The sequence below is a fragment of the Homo sapiens genome, chromosome 2 (assembly GCF_000001405.40).
Source record: "Homo sapiens chromosome 2, GRCh38.p14 Primary Assembly".
In the NCBI taxonomy this organism is placed as follows: domain Eukaryota; kingdom Metazoa; phylum Chordata; class Mammalia; order Primates; family Hominidae; genus Homo; species Homo sapiens.
Window position 1 is genome coordinate 231,164,342 of NC_000002.12, and position 20,584 is coordinate 231,184,925.

At 43.2% G+C, this 20,584-nt stretch overlaps 1 protein-coding gene across 3 annotated transcripts in view, besides 4 other annotated features; it reads left to right on the forward strand.

Moving 5' to 3' along the window:
* The window catches only part of PSMD1 (proteasome 26S subunit, non-ATPase 1), a 115,961-nt gene extending 107,475 nt beyond the window's left edge, over positions 1–8,486 (forward strand). For all 3 annotated transcript variants that reach the window (NR_034059.2, NM_002807.4, NM_001191037.2), the window contains 4 exons: positions 859–945; positions 1,530–1,676; positions 6,225–6,380; positions 8,194–8,486. Coding sequence is in view for 2 of the 3 variants with exons in the window: in NM_002807.4 (NP_002798.2) it covers positions 859–945; positions 1,530–1,676; positions 6,225–6,371 (381 nt within the window). In the remaining variant the exon portion in view is untranslated. The remainder of the gene's footprint in view (positions 1–858; positions 946–1,529; positions 1,677–6,224; positions 6,381–8,193) is intronic.
* Positions 15,789–15,898: an enhancer, noted in NCBI's record as "active region_17275". NCBI's record gives its function as "activates an Ori minimal core promoter by ATAC-STARR-seq in GM12878 lymphoblastoid cells {active_cell/tissue: GM12878}" and the evidence as "EXISTENCE:reporter gene assay evidence [ECO:0000049][PMID:35858748]".
* Positions 15,969–16,068: an enhancer, noted in NCBI's record as "active region_17276". NCBI's record gives its function as "activates an Ori minimal core promoter by ATAC-STARR-seq in GM12878 lymphoblastoid cells {active_cell/tissue: GM12878}" and the evidence as "EXISTENCE:reporter gene assay evidence [ECO:0000049][PMID:35858748]".
* Positions 17,368–18,567: an enhancer, noted in NCBI's record as "BRD4-independent group 4 enhancer chr2:232046423-232047622 (GRCh37/hg19 assembly coordinates)". NCBI's record gives its function as "activates an origin of replication core promoter dependent on BRD2, P300/CBP, MED14 and CDK7 cofactors, and independent of BRD4, by STARR-seq in HCT116 cells {active_cell/tissue: HCT116}" and the evidence as "EXISTENCE:reporter gene assay evidence [ECO:0000049][PMID:35650434]".
* Positions 17,441–17,830: an enhancer, noted in NCBI's record as "active region_17277". NCBI's record gives its function as "activates an Ori minimal core promoter by ATAC-STARR-seq in GM12878 lymphoblastoid cells {active_cell/tissue: GM12878}" and the evidence as "EXISTENCE:reporter gene assay evidence [ECO:0000049][PMID:35858748]".

A 20,584-nucleotide genomic window follows, 5' to 3' on the forward strand; every position in this document is an offset into this window, starting at 1 on the left:
TTTATACTCCTACCAACTGTGTATGAGGACACTCCTGTATTAAAGAATAATACATTAAAGAGTTGTACTTGCCCATAAAGTTTTACTCAGTAAAATTATACTTTTTTTGATACCTTATATATAGGAAAGTGGCTCTTTCTCTCATAATTTTCATATTGGCCAGTTGTTGATTATTTGCTGTAAATTTTGTGTATAAGTAAGGATAATTAACCAAATTTGAGGGTAGCAGTTAAGGAATAGCCTTGACAGCATCTTGTTTCATCAGCTATGTTTCAGACCCTCCTTTGGGTCTGAAACAAAGTCAGCTTTTACACCAGTATTGCCCAGCTTTTCACCTTTGTTTTCAGCAAGACCCATGAAGGAGAATAATATAGGCTAACCACTCACCCACTGTGTATTAGCATTGTAAGACATATAGTCCAGAGAGGATATCTACAACCAGCGCTGAAGGAAATTGTTCTATTTTCCATTGCTTTCCTGTAAAGCAAAAAGGCTATAGCACCCAAATCTCAATCTTGGAAGTACATGAGAGCAAATTCATATCCAAGGTAGGCTACAGATCAAAAAAAAGGGAAGAGTTATATTGGACACAAGCCTCCAAGAACTAAAGATTCACTTGATGACAAGAGTAGTAAATTATTTCAGTAAATGTCCTGCTTAGTTTTCCCATTTATTCTTTGATTTATATATATTTATATATATATATATATATATATATATATATATATATATATATATATATATATATATGTAATACAGCTAGGAAATAGAATAGTGTTGTAGGACTGAGTTCTCTAGGGCTTGCATGTTTGTATGTCAGTAAGGGATTACAACAGTTTACCCTGCTCATTTCCCCAGGTTTCTACTGCTGTATTATCTATAACTGCCAAGGCTAAAAAGAAGGAAAAAGAAAAGGAAAAAAAGGAGGAGGAGAAAATGGAAGTGGTAGGTATAAATTGGTGGTCATATGGATTGAAGTATCTCTGTCTCTGTCATGGTCGAGATTCTTCCTTAGTTGAATATTATTCTACCTTGCTCTTGGCTTCCTTCAAACAATTATCCTGTTGCCAGCATGTAGAATCATCAAACTGTACTTGAAAGAGACTCGAAAATATATCCATTTGTGGGAAGAATAGAAGGGTACAAATCAGTAAAAAGTTCCTGGAGCAAATGACAACTAAAATAGGTTTTGAAGGGCAAAGTAGGTTTTTCACAGACAAGATGATGAGGTAGGAGAAAGAAAAACCCTTTCAAGCAAAGGGATTATCACTTGTTTAGGTAGACCTTTTTCTGATCTCTGCTGGTAGAAAAACCTTTTTAATCCTTTAAAACCAAGTCAAATACCATTCTCATTCCTAAGCAGAGTTACTTTTCCCTCCTCTGAGTCTGATAGCACTTTAGTTGTACTTCCATTACTACCGACCACTACCTCTTGTACCTTATAGCTGCTCAGTCAACTTCAGATGTTACTCAGTTCTGTGGAACAGAAATGAACTTCTGTTGAACTTTTTTTAAATTTTATTTTATAGGATGAGGCAGAGAAAAAGGAGGAAAAAGAGAAGAAAAAAGAACCTGAGCCAAACTTCCAGTTATTGGATAACCCAGCCCGAGTTATGCCTGCCCAGCTTAAGGTCCTAACCATGCCGGAGACCTGTAGATACCAGCCTTTCAAACCAGTAAGTTACCAGTGACTCTTAGCTGTATATACCAGTGGGATATTAATCCATAGGACAATAGAATATTGATAGAGAATGATAAATCTCCAAAGCATTGGAGCAAGCTCACTAGTTCTAAGAAATTATTTAACAAAAGAGAGAATGTTCTTTTCCATTTCATATAGATTTGGGAGAATTTTTCTTTTCCCTGTGTAACCCTACAAACTCCCGTCTTCTACCACAGACATACGACGTAGGAGTTCCTAATACAACAATTTGATTAGGAATATAGACTCTACAGCCAAGCATACAGGATTTGAATCTTGAGTATACTGCTCAGGCTAAGTGACCTTAGGCCAGGTACTAAATCTCTCTCTGCCTCAGTTTTCTTTATTATAAAACAGAGATTACCATCCCTGACTCAGAAATGAGGCACAGATTGAACAAGCACTGAGAACAAGACTTGGGACTGCTCAATAAGTATTGATTACTATGGTAATTACACCGTTGTCTTTTTTTTTTTTCTATTTCATTACACCATTGTCATAAATGCATTGCATTTTAGTTAGAAAAGGATCTTCATGGAATTTAATTTATTCCAAGACAGAGTGCTTCATGTTAAAAACAAATGCTTATCAGAAATATGAGTGTGATACTGCCTTTATCTTCCAGGTTCTTGTAGATAACTAGAGCGCCATCAGTAGACCCATCCAAGACATCCAGATGCTAGATCTGTCTAAAATGTCAGAGATTCGATTTCTAGATCCTTATCCTTATACAAGAGTAAACTTATTCTTATCAACCTGATGGTGGGTCAAAGGCAACTCCTATCTATAATTGTGAGTCGGGGTCTTAACCTGACTAATTTATCAGCTAGAAGAGATAAAGCCAAGGGATGCAAGATAGTGTATGTAGTGGTTTAGAGCTGGAATTTGGCATAACTGGGTTTTTATTTCTACTGTTAGCTGTGTGACTAAGACAAGTCATTTAATCTTTGTATTTCAGTTTCCTCATCTGTAAAATTGATATGGTAATGCTACCTACCTCCTGTTGATGTTGTGGAGATTAAATAGGTTGTTACATGTAAAGCACCTAAAACAATGGTAAATGCTAATCTGTAGCACTGCCTGATCTGTAGTAGTTGCTGTGTAGTGTTAAATGAATGGACAGAATCATCAATGGATACCTTTAATGCAGTCACTGTCTGATCTGCAACCTGGTTCATCTCGGTGGCGGTTTTACAGAGAACGTATTCTAACTGTGTCTGTAAACTTATCTTACCAGTAGCATGGGAATCCAGAACAGATGTATTAGGACACAACTAGAGCATACTCTAAGCACGTGAAATAACTAGTGTTTTTGATAATTATGAACTAAGACAGTGAGGCACGTGCTCAATGCCATGAGGCCATATGAGCACACTGTACACCACAGTAGAAAACTAAATGATTGCTAAGCCTTTGCTCAAATTAAGTCAGAGATAGCTATAACAGTTGGTCCACCTATGAATTAAAAGACTGCCTATGTCTGTGCAAGGAAGAAATGAGGAATCCTGTTGAAGGTATAGCCCTACACACACACACACACTCCTTCAAAGAGTGGGAGACTTTGTGTTCCAAAGTGTTTAAGGAAATTCCTGTCCAGTTGTTAGCTGACTACTAAGTTAAATGAGCATTGACTTTAGTGGACACACAAATCAGGGAATACAAACTTTATAGAATAGGAGAAAATATTTTCAAATCATTTATCTGATAAGACAGTTACATCTAGAACATACGAAAAGCTCCTCCAACTCAACAATAAAAAGACAACCTAATTTTAAAACAGGCAAATGATTTGAATAGACATTTCTCCAAAGAAGATGTACAGATGGGCAAATAAGCACATGAAAAGATGCTCAACATCATTACTCATTAGGAAATGCAAATCAAAACCATAACAGGTGCAGTGGTTCCCACTTACAGTCCCAGCTACATGGGAGGCCAAGGCAGGAGGATTGCTTGAGCCCAGTAGCTCGAGGCTGTAGTGCAATATGATTGTGCCTATGAACAGCCACTGGACACCAGCTTAGGCAACATAGCAAGATCCCATCTCTTAATTTAAAAAGAAACACAAAACCATAAGAAGATATCACATTCTACCCACCAGGATGGCTGTAATCAAAAAGACCGCACAGACAAGAATATGCAGAAATTGGAACCCTCATAGAGTAATAGTGGGAAAGTAAAGTTACAGCCACAGTGGAAAAAAAGAATTTGGCAGTTCCTCAAAAAGTTAAATGTAGTCTTATCATATGACCCGGCAATTCCATTCCATACCTAAGAGAAGAGAAAACTGTGCCCACACAAAAGCTTACACACTAACGCTCATATCAGCATGATTCATAATAGCCATAAAACGGAAACAACTTAAATGTCTTATCAACTGATGAATGAATAATGTGAGATAATAATGGAATATTATTTGACCATAAAAAGGAAAGACTTACTGATATATGCTACAGTGTGTGTGAACCTTGAAAACATTATTTTAAGTAAAAGAAGCCAGACGTAAAAGACTGCATATGGTCTGGTTCCCTTTATGTGAAACATTCAGAAAAGGCAAATCTATAGAGACGAGTTAGATTGGTGGCTACCAAGGACAGGGGAAGGGGAGAATGGAGAGTGGCTGCTACTGGGCCCACAGTTTCTTTAGGTTGATGCAGATATTTTTGAATTAGATAGCAGAAGTATTAATAGCTGCACAAGTTTGTGAATGTACTAAATTGTACGCTTTGAGAGAATGAATTTTATGTTAATATATCTCATTTTAAAAAAGAAAACACTGCCTCTGTGTATGTGCAGTGACTCACTCCCCTACCCTCAGTGGCAAGGTCATGGGACCCTTCCTCAGACACTGCATTTGAAAGAGGCAGCTGTAGTTTTGGAAACAAGTAACATTCCTACCCTGCTTCCTGTCCACCATGAGGCAAGAGGAAGTGTTTCATTGCCTATATCTACAGTTGTAATTAGCCTCCCCAGAGAACAGAAAATCGTATATCTTATGCATAGAGGGTGTGAACTTTCCCACCAACATGTAAAGCATTAACAAACCTAGACCATGTATAGCTATAAACAGCCCTTTCCATGTGTTGATTTGGATTATTAGTTTTGGGATTTTTTTTTGTGTGTGTGTTACTGTTGTTTTTGTATGATGAGGCCTTCCTTTGATTAAGTTGGATTATTTCATTCCAGTTAAGCATGAAATAGCATAACCTGGATCCACATTTTCCAAAAAATAGAAAGTCCTCATGTGAACGTGGATATTTTCTTCTGTTTGGTAGGAGATTCATCTCCATTTGGTCCATTAGGTTCAAGTAAACTTTTAGGCTATGGAGGATTAGGACAGTGGCCCTATGCTCCATTCTGGGAGTATTGGCAGTAAGGGCAGGGTCCATTCATAAAATGGATCCTCTTCAAGGAAAGCAAACTTTTTAAGGGAAGGGGTTGTAGAAAAATGTATAGATATGTGTGTGTCAGGAGAAGGGAAATAGTTCGGAGTTCACGAAGCACACCAGTTTTATAGCATGGCAGGGCAGAGTTCTGATGAGTAAAAATTGGATTAGGTTGAACTGCAGAGATGCTTATACATACGTGAATCATTTAACTAATGTACTTGTGCTTCTTTTCCTTCCCAGTAATGTGCTTTGGTAGAAATATGCTTTTTCCAGATGTGCCCTGCCACTGTTGACTGATTTAATTACATAGAGCAGCTTTCCATTTCCTTTGACACAGGCAAGCAAATAGAATAAGATTAGCACACTAGAGAGGGGTGAATAGTTTAGTGTTTGAATTTACCTTCTGTAATATGTTTGGGAGAGGGCTTAATAGAATTGCTGCTACAGTCTACTTCCCTTTTGTTTCCCATGTATTTTTTCATCGGCTTGCATCACGTGGATTTATAGATTAAAGTGAAAAACCCGGGATATCTGTGTTATTCTCTCCATCATTCTGAAATTGCTGGAGAAAAAATTGGCTTTTAATTTATACACTCTCGTGTTCAAAATGATTATCATCTCACAAATCATACAGTGTGCATTAGACTGCTTCTCAAACTTCAGTGTGCATCAGATTGACTGGGATCTTGTTAGAATGCAGATTCTGCAGATCTAGGGTGGGGCCAGCTTTTCTGCATTTTTAACAAGCTCCAGATGATAATGATGCTTCTGGCCCAGGACCATATCTTGAGTAGGAAGGAATTAGGATACTATATTTGGACAGTAAACATTCTTCCTGCAGTGAGACTGAGGCTGGTAGTCAAGGCCATGGCTGGGAAATAACTATTCTTAAATTGGGATGCATCATCCAAGTAGAACAGCATCACATGTTATACCATCTAGAGCTACTGGGTTAAGTTTGCAAATACTTCGTATAGATCACAGTTATCTTTATCCCAGTAAAGTTCTACTCCAGTTTTTCACTTCCAAATCATTTAAGTAGTTTTAAAGTACCATTTAACAAGTATTTACTCTAGATTGTGGAGCACGCTTGAAATATGAGTGTACGCTTCTGCACGCCCCTGTGTTTCCAGCTCTCTATTGGAGGCATCATCATTCTGAAGGATACCAGTGAAGACATTGAGGAGCTGGTGGAACCTGTGGCAGCACATGGCCCAAAAATCGAGGAGGAGGAACAAGAGCCAGAACCCCCAGAACCATTTGAGTATATTGATGATTAAGGGCCAGAGGTGCGTGTGCAACAAAATTATGAAGGGAAACTTCTTTGTCAATACTTCACAAATGTTTTTTGCAAGGACATCATCTCACGTTTTTCCTTCCTTTTGTGTTTAATCCTTATTTACCTAAACAGTATTAAAACTTCCCCGTTTCAACCTTTTTCTGCATATATAACCACAAATTCCTTTTTCTTTCCTCTTTGACTCGTACTCTACTCACGTTATTCAAAGTGGCTGGTCTGCAAACTATTTTTATAGGTCCATAAGGAGATAGGAAGCTTACTCCAGAATCTGTCTGCTCAACGCTTCTTTCATCAAGAAAGTCTTCCCCAAAACATCAGCTGAACTGCAGTTTGCTTAGTGATAGAGCTGATTTACATTCTGATGTAAGCTTCTTGTTGTGGATCAGTTATAGTTGTGGACTGGCACTGGCCCATAGGTGACACTTTTGAGTAGCACAAATATAGGCTTCTCACTGATTTTTCTCTCTCCCCATCTCCTTCGACAGTATTTTTGGCATAGAAGCCTTAACATTCATTCATTCTATGATGGTGCTATTGAATATCTACTGTGTATAAGACATAGTGCTTATAGGGACTTTGAGGTCAGTTAGACTAACCACAAGGCTGTGTCCATTGACAAAGATCATTTACTATATCAGTGTCTTAACAGTGTTGAAAGGGGTCTTTAGATGGGAAAGTTTGGAGTAATCTAATTTCATGAAATTGTCGTTCTTCATTTCCCCATTTTCTTTTGAGTGTTCATCACATATTTGAAGACATTGTGAGACATAATCAAGGTTTCCTAATTCCACCCAAGCACAAACACGTTTTCAGACAATTTTTTTTTTTTTTTTTTTTTTTGAGACGGAGTTTCGCTCTTGTTGCTCTTGGCTGGAGTGCAATGGCGCAAACTTGGCTCACCGCAACCTCCGCCTCCTGGGTTCAAGCGATTCTCCTGCCTCAGCCTTTCGAGTAGCTGGGATTACAGGCATGCGCCACCACACCCGGCTGATTTTGTATTTTTAGTAGTGACAGGGTTTCTCCATGTTGGTCAGGCCGGTCTCAAGTTCTGGACCTCAGCTGATCCGCGAACCTCGGCCTCCCAAAGTGCTGGGATTACAGGTGTGAGCCACCACGCCCGGCCAATTCATTCTACTCTTTAAAAAAAATAAGGACAGTATCATTTGTTATATTTAAAGGTCTGGTTGCAAATCTAGCATGCTGTGTGTTAGATACTGACTAGCAATTTAGGAAAGATTTGCAGAAATCTCAGATAAATATTAAGGTAGAAACCTGCCATTAGTAGGAAAATATATTTATACCTCAGGAAGACTATTAGTTTGGGCCTTAGAGAAAGGCAGATTTATACTAACCTTCCTATTTTCTAAACTTACTTTTGAAAATTATCTTTCAGCCTTGATAGTTTCCTAAGCTTTACCCAACTTGCACAGTACAGCGTAGGCTATCATGATCACTCAGTCTGTCTGAGAATTGAGGTGACTCACGTTAGCTCCCATCAAGCCTTTGGCAATACCTCATGGAAAACCCTTGATTACAGCTTTCAAGGCAGTTAATTACAAAATGACTTAGAGGTTTATAGCTGGAAACTGGAATCTTGTTAGTTTTCAAAGGGGTAAAATATTCAGTCCATTAGGAGTTTGGAAACTATAATCTGTCGTGGCACAAACTGGTATATTAGGACTGCAGAGGCAGGGTTGGGGCCTAGTTTTAGATTTCAACAGTTAATAGTAAAGAGGAAAAAAAAGAATGTCTTGAAATTAAGAATGACCCTAGCTACTACTGTTCTTTCTTCCCTTTCCCAGGATCTCACTTGCTTATCTGAAGAAGATTGTCCAGGCTCATATTGGGAATGCTTATGAGGAAATTCATGCCGAGACCTGCTATTCAATGCATGTATCGTTGCCTCTGCACTGACCTGAAGAACCCTGTCTCCAAGTCTTTGGTTGAAGAGAAGATATATGACTGTTGAGTGTGCTCTTTCACAGAACTTGGTTTTCAAATAAATATAAGATCTCCAGATGGACAAGACATTTGTTTTTCAGCCTGGGTTTTTAATAAATGTATCTAATCCTCCCCACACCATGAAATGCCTAAATCCCAAGAGCCAGAGTCTTGATTTGCTAGGATGAGTATGCACGACTTTCATATTGATGAAAAAGTCAAACTATTCTTAAATTATAGACCATGAAAATAATGGAAGGGAAAAAAATCAAACCTTGCTCATCACCCCCAAGAATTCTCTACAGTTTTGTTGTGGTTGTGGGTTGTTGTTTAATATGGGGTCTAATCAGCCAGGGCAACATGGTGAGACCCCCATCTCTACAAAAAAATTGAAAAATTAGCTGGGTAGGCCAGGCAGGGTGGCTCACGCCTATAATCCCAGCACTTTGGAAGGCCAAGGTGGGCAGATTGCTTGAGCCAAGGAGTTTGAGACCAGCCTGGGCAACATGGCAAAAACTCACCTCTACAAAAAAAAAAAAAAAATTAGACATGCACAGTGGCACGTGCCTGTAGTCCTAGCTACTCAGGAGGCTGAGGTGGGAGGATCACCTGAGCTTGGAGGTCGAGGCTGCAGTGAGGGTTGATTGTGCCAGTGTACTCCAGCCTGGGTGACAGAGTTAGACAGTTTCTGAAAAAAAAAAAATTAGCCAGGCAGGGTGGTATGTACCTGTAGTCACAGCTATTCAGGAGGCTGAGGCAGGAAGATCAATTGAGCCCAGGAGGTTGAGGCTGCAGTGAGCTGTGTGTGCACCACTGCACAACAGCCTAGGCAACAGGGCAAGACCCTGTCTGGAAAAAAAAAAAAAAAAAGAGCCTCACTCTGTCGCTTAGGCTTAGGCTGGTCTCAAACTCCTGGGCTCAAGCAATCCTCCCACTTTAGCCGCCTGAACTACAATTTTTTAATCGAATAGAGGGTGTCATCACTTACTGAAGTCCCTTTCATAATCCAAGGGAATTGTGTGTTTAGGCAGCTCAGAAGCTTTTTTGTTAAACCTTTGCTTATTGTTTTTTGCTTTTGATCCTGTTAATAGATAAAATTTATTTAGTTTCCTTTAGCCACAGGATCTGATAACGTACCTTTATTCCTTTCTCATTTTCCAATCTTTTTTTCATGTTTTTTAAAAATTAAAGTATAATTTAAAAGCAATAAAATGCAGACATTTGAGGTATATACAGGATAATGAATTTTGACAAGTACAATTTTTGTTTCTAGATTATCAAGCCTTTCTTGGATGCTAGGCTTTTAGAATAAGCAGTCAGGGTTGATATTCTGACCACTACACCATCTCCTCATGTTCTGGCATATGAAATGGATGTTTCTGATTTACTGGGACATGGAATTTAAAAGAGCTGGATTTCAAGGGTTTTGTGTTGTTTTATGAGTAGGTAGCTTAAAAAATTATACAGGAATGGCATTTTGCCCCTACCTTGATTCTTTCACTTCTTAACTTAGGATGTAGTTTTCTGAATCTTGTAGGGGGAAACTATTCTTAAAGGAAACAAATTCCTGAGTAGATTAGCCCTAGTACATTCATCTACCACAGGCTAGTTTTTATGTCCAGGTCTAAAGGTTACTGATCCCAGAGGATCAACCACTCATTGGTTAATTTCATTGTATCCCCTCCTTTGTAAATTCCTTGTTTCCTCAATATCAGATGATTCTATAAAAGAGATTATCTCATTTCCTAGCCTCTCATTAGCTATGTCCTTCCTGTTCAAGCTTTTAACGTTGCTTGCATTTCAGACAGTTATCTCTTACATTTCCCCTAGTATATGAAATGTTTAAAAAACAGAAGTCTCTGGATGTCACTGTACAAAATTGAGTAGTCTGGGAGGGGTGGTACATTCGCTGGCATCCTGCCAATGTTATCACACTCCTTCCAAAATAATAGACTGAACTTCAGGGAGCAATTAGCACTAGTTCCTATTAGGCAGTGCAATTCAGAATTTAAATCTTGAAAAGGTTATAGCATTAAAAAGTGCAAGCTATAAAGTAACATATCTACATGGAACAGATTATGATGAGACAGTCGGTATCTGCTTTCCTGATGAATATTTATTTATTTGTTTTGAGATGGAGTTTTGGTCGTGTTGCCCAGGCTGGAGTGCAATGGCATGGTCTCAGCTCACCGCAACCTCCACCTCCCGGGTTCAAGCAATTCTCCTACCTCAGCCTCCCGAGTAGCTGGGATTACAGGTATTTGCCACCATGTCCAGCTAATTTTGTATTTTTAGTAGAGACGGGGTTTCTACATGTTGGTCAGGCTGGTCTCAAACTCCCAACCTCAGGTGATCTGCCCACCTCAGCCTCCCAAAATGCTGAGATTACAGGCGTGAGCCACTGCGCCTGGCCTCCTGCTAGGTTTTTTTTTTTCCTAGATGTCCTGGGATATGCATTAGGACTGAGAGCTAACCAAGGAGTAAGGAAGTCTACAGTAAAATAAGAGTGAAAGTCATATGAAAACAGGCTAGGAGCTAGAGTTGACACAACCAATAGAAGAAACAGAAGGGAGGGTGGCAGCAATTACTCCCAGATGGTGTCATTGTGGCACACAGTGTCAGGGTTGACGGTAAGTGGGATGCACAACATTGAAACCAGTTGCAAGTGATAAATGGTTTGGTTTCTTAAATGGGACCGATCCTAGAATCTAGTCTTTTCCTACTGGCCTGCAGGTAAATGACTCTTGCGTTTTAAAAATACTCTCCTTGGGGCTGGACATGGTGACTCATGCACTTTGGGAGGCCAAGGCAGGTGGATCACGAGATCAGGAGATCAAGACCATCCTGGGCAACATGGTAAAACCCCGTCTCTACTAAAAATATGAAAAAATTAGCCAAGCATGGTGGCATGTGCCTGTAGTCCCAGCTACTCCGGAGGCTGAGGCAGGAGAATCATTTGAACCCAGGTGGCAGAGGTTGCAGTGAGCCAAGATCGCGCCACTGCACTCTAGCCTGGGCAACAGAGCAAAACTCCATCTCAAAAAAAAAAAATTATCTTTGGCTTTCTTGCTCTAATTTTCCTCCTGTCTCTGACCTCTTCATTTGACAAATCAGTAGTATTTCTCTTTATTTGAGCATCTGTTTGTGCAGAGATTCTTTGGTTTTTTTGGCAAGTCCCACTCCCTCTGACTGCACTTTAACTGCCAACCTTCAGAATTTGGTCTTTGATCCTCTTCTCAGTCTACTTTCTCCAAGCAACTTCGTCCATCCCATGTCACCCAGGCGGGGGAGTGCAGTGGCACAATCCCATCTCACTGCAATCTCCGCCTTCTGGGCTCAAGCAGTCCTCTCACTTCAGCCTCCCGAGTAGCTGGGACTACAGGCGCATGTCACTACACCCGGCTAATTTTTTGTGTTTTTAATAGAAATGGGGTTTCACCATGTTGGCCAGGATGGTCTCCAACTCTTGAGCTCAAGTGATACACCCACTTACCAAGCTGTTGGGATTACAGGCATGAGCCACCACACCCAGCCTCTGAGCTTCTGACATGTACCTTTCAGCAACTCACTGGTGTCCCTATCTGGGCTGCTGCACAAGCACTTAAAACATGTCCAACCACACTCCACACCCATCCTGCTCTACTTCGGGCTAATGCCAAGCCCTCCATGTGGTTTCCTACACCAGAAACCCCAGCTTCACCTTGACTCAATGCTTGGCATCTCAATTATCTCTCCAGTTCATCCACTTCCCTTCCCCACTGCTCAGTACCCTCAGCTGAAGCATTTAACTGGTCTGTACTTCCAGAATTGACCCATTCTAATCCATTCTCCAAACTGATCTCTCTAAAACACAAATCAGGCCTGGTATAATGGCTCACACCTATAATTCCAGCACTTTGGGAGGCCGAGGCAGGAATCGCTTGAGCTCAGGAATTCAAGACCAGCCTGGGCAACAAAGTGAGACCGTCTACACACACACACACACACACACACACACACACACACTAGACGGGTGTGGTGATGCGTGCTTCTACACACACACACACACACACACTAGATGGGTGTGGTGATGCGTGCTTGTAGTCCCAACTACTCGAGAGGCTGAGGCAGGAGGATCGCTTGAGCCCAGGAATTCAAGGCTGCAGTAAGCCGTGATCACGCCACTGCGCTCCAGCTTGGATGACAGAGCAAGACCCTGTCTCCACCAAAAAAAAAAAAAGTTAGTCTTAAAAACCTGTGCTTTCTTGTTACCGAATAAAGCCCAAGTTCTTCAATATGTACACATGGCTGCCCAAGGCTTGAACTGCTGCTTGTCTCTCCAGCCTCCTGTCTCTTCATTTTTCTCTCACCTCACACTCAGAACTGCTTTTTACTTCCTCCAAAGACCCAGGCTTTCTGTCATCTGGCCTTTGCACATACCATTCCCTCTGCCTGAAATGCCCACCTCTTTTGATTCCCGCCATTTTCTGCCTAGATCTGGTAGATCTGCTTGTTATTTAGGAGGTTTTTAAAGACCTCCTTCAAGAAGCCCTCCATGATTTCTCCCACCAGGGCTGACTTAGGTTCTCTGTTTCCCCAGTACCCAACATTGCCCCGCATTGCCGCCCCACCGTATTTTCATTCATTGCCTGGTTTATTTGCCTAACCTGTCCTACATTTGCTCACCATCATAAACCCTAGCATATAATTTATGGTCACATACTCATTTGCTAACTGTGGCTGCCTTCCCCAAGTACCTAAATGTCTCTTCTCACTCTTCCTCCAGTGACTAAATGCTCCCGCTAAGGACTTTTTCCATTAGTTTTGCTCTTGAAAAACGCTTGTTTTTCTTTATGTGCACAGGCAAACAGTGTCTCTGGAATTTCCAGCTGGCGTGAGATGATGAGAAGACATGAGCATGGGCAAAGATTTTGTGGCTTTGTCCCAGACAACTCCCAGCCTTCTTGTATCGATTATAAATGAAACACTTCCACTTCCTTAGCAAGTGCATTTTGCTGTTTCTAGGGTTCCAGTTTTGGTTCCACCCTCCCATCCTTTACTGTTAAAGCTGTAGGGGCCCTTCCAAGCCAAACCACGTAAATGGGAAGATCATGGGCTTTGGCCTCAGATTTAAGTCCAGATCCTCATCTGAGGATCCCTTCATGGGTTCCTCATTTGCACAGAGGGAGTCATGTTGACCTCAAGGTTGTTACAGGGATTTAAGAATGGCTGATTATTACACGATGGCTATGTGCTACTGATGAGAATCACATGCATTGTTCCTCATTCCTCACAGCCACTTGAAGAGGTAGATGCTATTATATAGAGAAAATCTACGTTAAGAAACCGGCACTCAAGTAGGCATTCACTAAATTTTACCTGAATCAGAATGGTGTGGCCGGCCAGACGCAGTGGCTCACGCCTGTAATCCCAGCAGTTTGGGAGGCCGAGAATGGCAGATCACTTGAGGTCAGGAGTCCAAGACCAGCCTGGCCAACATGGTGAAACCCCATCTCTACTAAACATACAAAAATTAGCCAGGCGTGTGGTGTGCCTGTAATCCCAGCTACTCAGGAAGCTGAGGCAGGAGAATCACTTGAACCTGAGAGGCAGAGGTTGCAGTGAGCCGAGATTTTGCCATTGCACTCCAGCCTGGGCGACGAGTGAAACTCCATCTCAAATTTTAAAAAAGTGCCAGGCATGGTGGCTCACGCTTGTAATCCTAGCACTTTGGGAGGCCAAGGCGGGCGGATCCCCTGAGGTCAAGAGTTCGAGACTAGCCTGGCCAACAGGGCGAAATCCCGTCTCTACTAAAAATACAAAAAAAAAAAAGACCGGGTGCAGTGGCTCATGCCTGTAATCCCAGCACTTTGGGAGGCTGCGGCAGGCAGATCACAAGGTCAGGAGATCAAGACCATCCTGGCCAACATGGTGAAACCCCATCTCTACTAAAATACAAAAAAATTAGCCGGGCATGGTGGTGCGCACCTGTAGTCCCAGCTGCTCAGGAGGCTGAGGCAGGGGAATTGCTCGAACCCGGGAGGCGGAGGTTGCCCCGAGCCAAGATTGTGCCACTGCACTCCAGCCTGGCGACAGAGCAAGATTCCGTCTCAAAAAATAATAATAATAATACAAAAAAATTAGCTGTGTGTGGTGGCACATGCCTGTAATCCCAGCTACTCAGGAGGCTGAGGCAGGAGAATCATTTGAACCCAGGAGGCGGAGGTTGAAGTGAGCCAAGATCGTGCCACTGTACTGCAGCCTGGGCAACAGAGCAAGACTCTGTCTAAAAAAAAAAAAAAGAGAGAGAGAGAATCATGCGGCCTAACACCTCATGCAGGTGAGAACATGCAGACTGAAGTGCTTTATTCAATATCAAAAGCCATTTTTACATTTGTGTTTCTACTTCCTCTTTCCGTTAACCTGGTTTCTGGCCTCTTCATTTTCTGGTATTGTTTGATCCAAAGGATCAACAGACACACCAATAGCCGTGTCTCTTTCATCCTATACCATACTCTGCTCCACATTTCTATCTGCCTCCATACTCCTAAGTCAGTATGCCTTTTCAGAAAGGGATTTTTAACAAAAGCATTCTTTCCAGTTGCCCTCTACAATGTAGCCCATTGGTGATGGGCATTTGCCACTTGTTCGCTGGGATCTGGGCAGTACCTTTGGTGCATGTACTCAGTGTTTTCCCAATCAGCGAGTTATTTATTTTTAATAAAATTATATCCCAGGCCAGGCACAGTGGCTCACACCTGTAATCCCACCTCTTTGGGAGGCCGAGGTGGGCAAATCACGAGGTCAAGAGATCAAGACCATCCTGGCCAACATGGTGAAACCCCGTCTCTACTAAAAGTACAAAAATTAGCCGGGCATGGTGGCGGGTGCCTGTAATCCTAGCTACTCAGGAGGCTGAGGCAGGAGAATCGCTTGAACCCGGGAGGCAGAGGTTGCAGTGAGCCGAGATCGTGCCATTGCACTTCAGCCTGGGCGACAAGAGCGAGACTCCGTCTCAAAAAAAAAAATTATATCTGGTAGATAATTACCTTTAGAGATCTTGGGCATTACGCAGAGCTGGGACTTGGCAAAGAGTTAGACAGAGATAAGGAATTTTCCATTAAGTCTTATTCCCATGACCTAGGCTGGGCAGCATCTGACTCTTCTGCCATTATCATCTCTCAGAAGCCCTGATACATGTTCCAAAGATTTCAGAGGTTTGCAAGTGTCTAAGCCTTTTTCTGTATGCAGAGTATCAACTAGCATCTCTAAAGTAACAACAGGGACGGGTCGTAAGGAAATTCCTTCCTTTGTTCCAGGATTAGAAGCCTGATGGAGGGATTCACTTACACCTCACTGTCAGTCCCCAGTAATCTCTTCTCTGAGCAGCTCTCAGGCATGTATGACACATGGTTCACAAGGTGATTACTTGTTCTCCTGTGGTTTCCTGTGTGTGTACAATTTTTGTTTCCTAACCAGTCTATAAATAAGCTCCTTAACGGCAAGTCCCAAAGTGTCCCCCAAAGTCCCCATCACAACGCTTGATACATGAGGCCTATTGGTATCAGATTAAATCATTGAGTTAGCTCTGGGAGTCTAGTGATGCCCTTGATCCTGACTGAGTTTCTTCATGGCACTTACACCCACCTGGCATCATAGCTGCTTATTTGTTTATTGTCTGTCTCCCCGGATTAGCACGTAAACCTAATGAGGACAAGGAGTTTGTTTTTTATGACTGCTGTATTCCTAGTGCCTGCAGCAGTTTCTGGCTCATTGTAGACTCCTGGTAAATAGTTATTGGAAGGACAATAGTGGCGAAAATGTATTTAGCTCCTGTGCTCTAGGCACTGCATTCAGCACTTGGCTGCCCTTCATCCTCACAATTCTACGGTGAGGTAAATGTTACAGATAAAGGAAATAGAGCTTAGAGATATTACAGGTGCATGGTAATTTACAGGACTGGAATTCAAACACAGCGTTGTCTAACTATAACACCTGTTTCTTTTGGTTTTGTTTTACTTATTTCCCTTTTTTAAATTTCTTTTTTCATTTTTATTTTTAATTTGAGATGGGGTCTCGCTGTGTTGCCCAGGCTGGTCTCAAACTCCTTAGCTCAAGCGATCTTTCTGCCTCAGCCTCCCAAAGTGCTGGGATTACAGGCGTGAGTCACCGTGCCTGGCTATTTTCGATTATTTCTTAACCACTATGGCAGTGATTCGGCAGATTTGGAGTCCACCTCAGGAATCCAGCAAGTTTAGCAGGTACTCAGATGATTCTGAGACGGATGGTCCTGAGGCCTCCACACTAAGAAACTCTCCCATATAAAGGTGCCTCCAGAAGACCTGAGTCTCCTGGCCATTTCAATGAAGCGTGGATACAGGAATAGTGCACACCCCAGGACGCTCTACCAGCATGGATGACAGTAGACATAAGCGAAAGTCCTCCCTGAAAAACAGATTTCTCCAGAGGGTACTCAGGGTCTGTCTTACCATCAATAGAGTACAGATATTTCTAGAGACGGAATATACTTCCCAAAGGGGAGTTCCCCAACCACAGAATCCATTGACCAAGTGGGAGCAGGTGGGAGTGCCGTCTATGTCCCCTTGGACGGGTCTCTCTGCAGGACACAAGACACATGGCAGCAGGTCTGCCAGATTCCCCATCTCCAGGCTCTGCTAAACTCGCCATGGCAATTGCTGTTTATCATCAAAAAGGCGTTGGATTGGCCAGGTGCGGTGGCTCATGCCTGTAATCCCAGCGCTTTGGGAGGCCAAGGTGGGTGGATCACTTGAGGCCAGGAGTTTGAGACCAGCCTGGTCAACATGGTGAAATCCCTCTCTACTAAAAATACAAAAAATAGCCAGGCGTGGTGGCGGGCGCCTGTAATCCCAGCTACTCGGGAGGCTGAGGCACAAGAATTGCTTGAACCCTGGAGGCAGAGGTTGCAGTGAGCTGAAATTGTGCCACTGTGCTCCAGCCTGGGCAACAGAGTGAGACTCTGTCTCAAAAAATAAAAAAAAAAAATAAAGGCTTTGTGTGTATATGACCCTAACAGCAGCCCATATTTTGAAATGCTTCTGGCTGTCTTTCCTGGAGCCCATGCTTGGCATACCATGGAGCCCAGGGGCCACAAGAGCCAGCAGGGGCAGCCAGAACGCACCACTTCTCTTGGGAAGTGCCCTGGCCTGAGACTCTGCAGCTTGCAGCAACCCAAGGAGATCAATACACATCCGATGACCCAAGCAAACAGTGCCTATGAGTGGGTGCCATGGAGTCAGTCCTTGCCCTGGAATCTCCAGGCCTCGGGCCTGCCCCATGGTGGCCTGGACACAGGTGCTTCAGCCTCTTGTCGGTTCTCCAAGGGGAACTCTGTTGAGTCACACTAGTCACGCAACAGCGGGAAGCCAGCAGCAGGGGGAAGTGAGAGGGCCACGCTCCAGGGTCAGATTAGGACAGCAGGGCCAGACTCCTATAAGCAGGCAAAGGACACGCTGGAGCCAGCACAGCAGAGGCCCAACAAAAATAATTTCATTTTTCTTAAAATAATTTGATCAACATTTGTTTGTCATTGAAATAATCTTTAACAGAAAAAGGAACAAGTCATCAGACTTCCTTATATTCATTCTGTGGCTTACAGCTGTTGTTGTTTTTAATGGGGACAAAAAGGGAGGGGGGTGAGTAGAAGGCACCGTAATCTTTTTAGTGCTTAGAGTCTTTAAATGTCTTAATCCAGACCCGAACAGGGACACATAATCTGTGCTCGGTCCCTCAACATTCTCAAGCCACTGGTTCAAGATAAAGTCATACTCTGGCGGTGGAGCTGATACTGACAAGGATAATGAACGTGGAGAAGGAGCACATCGCAGGGCAAAGACCACTGACCTGACCAGACGGTGGGGAATCCAGTCTGCAGACCGGACCTAGCTCAAACTTCTGTATCAGGTTACAGACGATGGCAGAGCCTCCTTCACTCATTCATTCGCACATTCAATAGTGAACTTCCACAACGTCTGCAGCCCAGCAACCACTGGCACTCCTGGTAACGGGTATCTGTGCCTTCATTTCTTCTTAAGGGAAGTGGCCACCTCCTAGCTCAGCCCAGATGCCAGCCCACACATTCCATCCACCAGGTGACAATGATTGGTTCAGGGATGAGCACGTGACCAAGTCAGGCCAATCAGAGCTAACAAGACCCAATTCTGGGGTATCTGTTCTGGCTATTGGGAACCCATCTCTCTCTATCAATCAGGATCTATCTATCTACCTACCTAACTACCTACCTATCTTACCTCTCTACCTAATCTATCTTATATCTATTGTCTATCTATCTATCTATCTATCTATCTTCCACTGATGATGTAGCCTGAAACTGCTCCTTCCACCATGTAGATCCTGAATGTGGCACCAACCAAGAGGAAGCTGAGCTAAGAAGCGGATCCAGACGGGCTCTCCTAAGCCCTACGTCCAGCCGTGCCTCTACTTCCAGACTGTGTCATTCCAGGCAGCAAGTTTTATTTGCTTAAGCAAAACACAGGCTACTTGGAGGTGAATTTCTGGCACTTGATACCAAAAGAGCACTTTAAGAGGAGCCGTGATGGGGGGTATTATGGACTGAGTTGTGTCCTCCCAAAATTCATATGTTGAAGCCCTAACCCCCAGTACCTTCAGAATGTCACTATATTTGGGTGGGCACGGTGGTTCACGCCTATAATCCTAGCACTTTGGGAGGCCAAGGCAGGAGGATTACTTGAGCTTAGGAGTTTGAGACCAACCTGGGCAACATACTGAGACCTTGTCTCTACAAAAAATTTTGAAAAAATTAGCCAGGTGTGGTAGTACATGCCTGTAGTACCAGCTACTCAGGAGGCTGAGGCTAGAGGATCGCTTGAGCTGGGGAGGTTGAGGCTGCAATAAATCATGATGGCACCACAGCTCTCCAGCCTGGGCAAAAGGGCCAGACCCTGTCTCAAAAAAAAAAAAAAAAAAGAAAAAGAAAAAAGAGAAAAAGGAATGTCACTATACTTGGAGGTGGCCTTTAAAAAGATGATTAATATAAAATGAGGCCATTATGATAGGCCCTAATCCACTCTGACTAGTGTCCCTATAAGAAGAGATTGGGACACAGACACACACAGATGGAGGGACACTGTGAGGACACAGGGAGAAGGTGGCCACCTGCAAGCCCAGGAGAGAAGCCTCAGGAGAAACAAACCTGCCAGCACCTTGATCTTGGACTCCAGCCTCCAGAACTGCGAGAAATAAACATCTGTTGTCAAAACCACCCAGTCTGTGGCTGTTGCAGCCACCCAAGCAGGCTAACACAGAGGGCTTACCTGAAGAAAGGTGGGGCGGTTGAATGCGGGCAGGGGGCATGAAGGAGGTGAGCCAGCTGGAGGAAATCACTGCAGTCATCACTGGAGAGCTGAGGAGGAGGCGGGAGTGATCAAGAGAACATGGACTTGAGACTTGGTCACTGATGCTGACTGCATCGGCGTAGGGAGGAGATTGGCTTCTTCCTGGAGCCTGGTGGTGCCGGCTCCACTAGGAGGGAGGTCGGGGGCACTGAGTGGTGACTGTGAACTTCCCTGGATCTGTCCTCACTGCGCTCTGTGCCTCTTCCCACGCTGGATTATGAGCTTCTGGGGCTGGACTTGGGTCCCTTCATTTTCATATCCCCTCCACTTCCAGGGCCTAGATTCTCAGGGAGGGCACCACTGCCCCTGGGAAGCATTGCACACAATGATGGGACATTTTTGGTTTCTACAATGATGGGGGAATCCAACCAGCGTTCCTGGAGGGAGCTGGCATGCTGGACGTCCTGCAGCGCTGGGTGGGCAGAGACTGACCTGGGGTGGGTTCAGAACTTTACCAAGAGCTGTTCATCATTTTGAAAACTCACATCAAAGATAGCCACACCATTTGTTCTGCTGAGTCACCAAACCAGCACACACCTATGCCAGTGCGAGTGTGCATGACCCACTCTGCCTCAGGTCACCTGCATCAGACTTTGCTTCTTTCTAGAAAGATCTGCATTTTTCTATGCTTTCTGGTATAGTCAGCCTAAGCGCTTATACATGGAAATTATTTTATATATATACATATATATATATATAATTGCTTTCCCCAGCCTGGGCAACATGGCGAAAACCTGTCTCTAAAAAAAATACAAAAATTAGCCGCGTGTGGTGGTAACTGCCTGTAGTCCCAGTTACTTGAGAGGCTGAAGTGGGAGGATTGCTTGAGCCCGGGAGGTTGAGGCTGCAGTGAGCCATG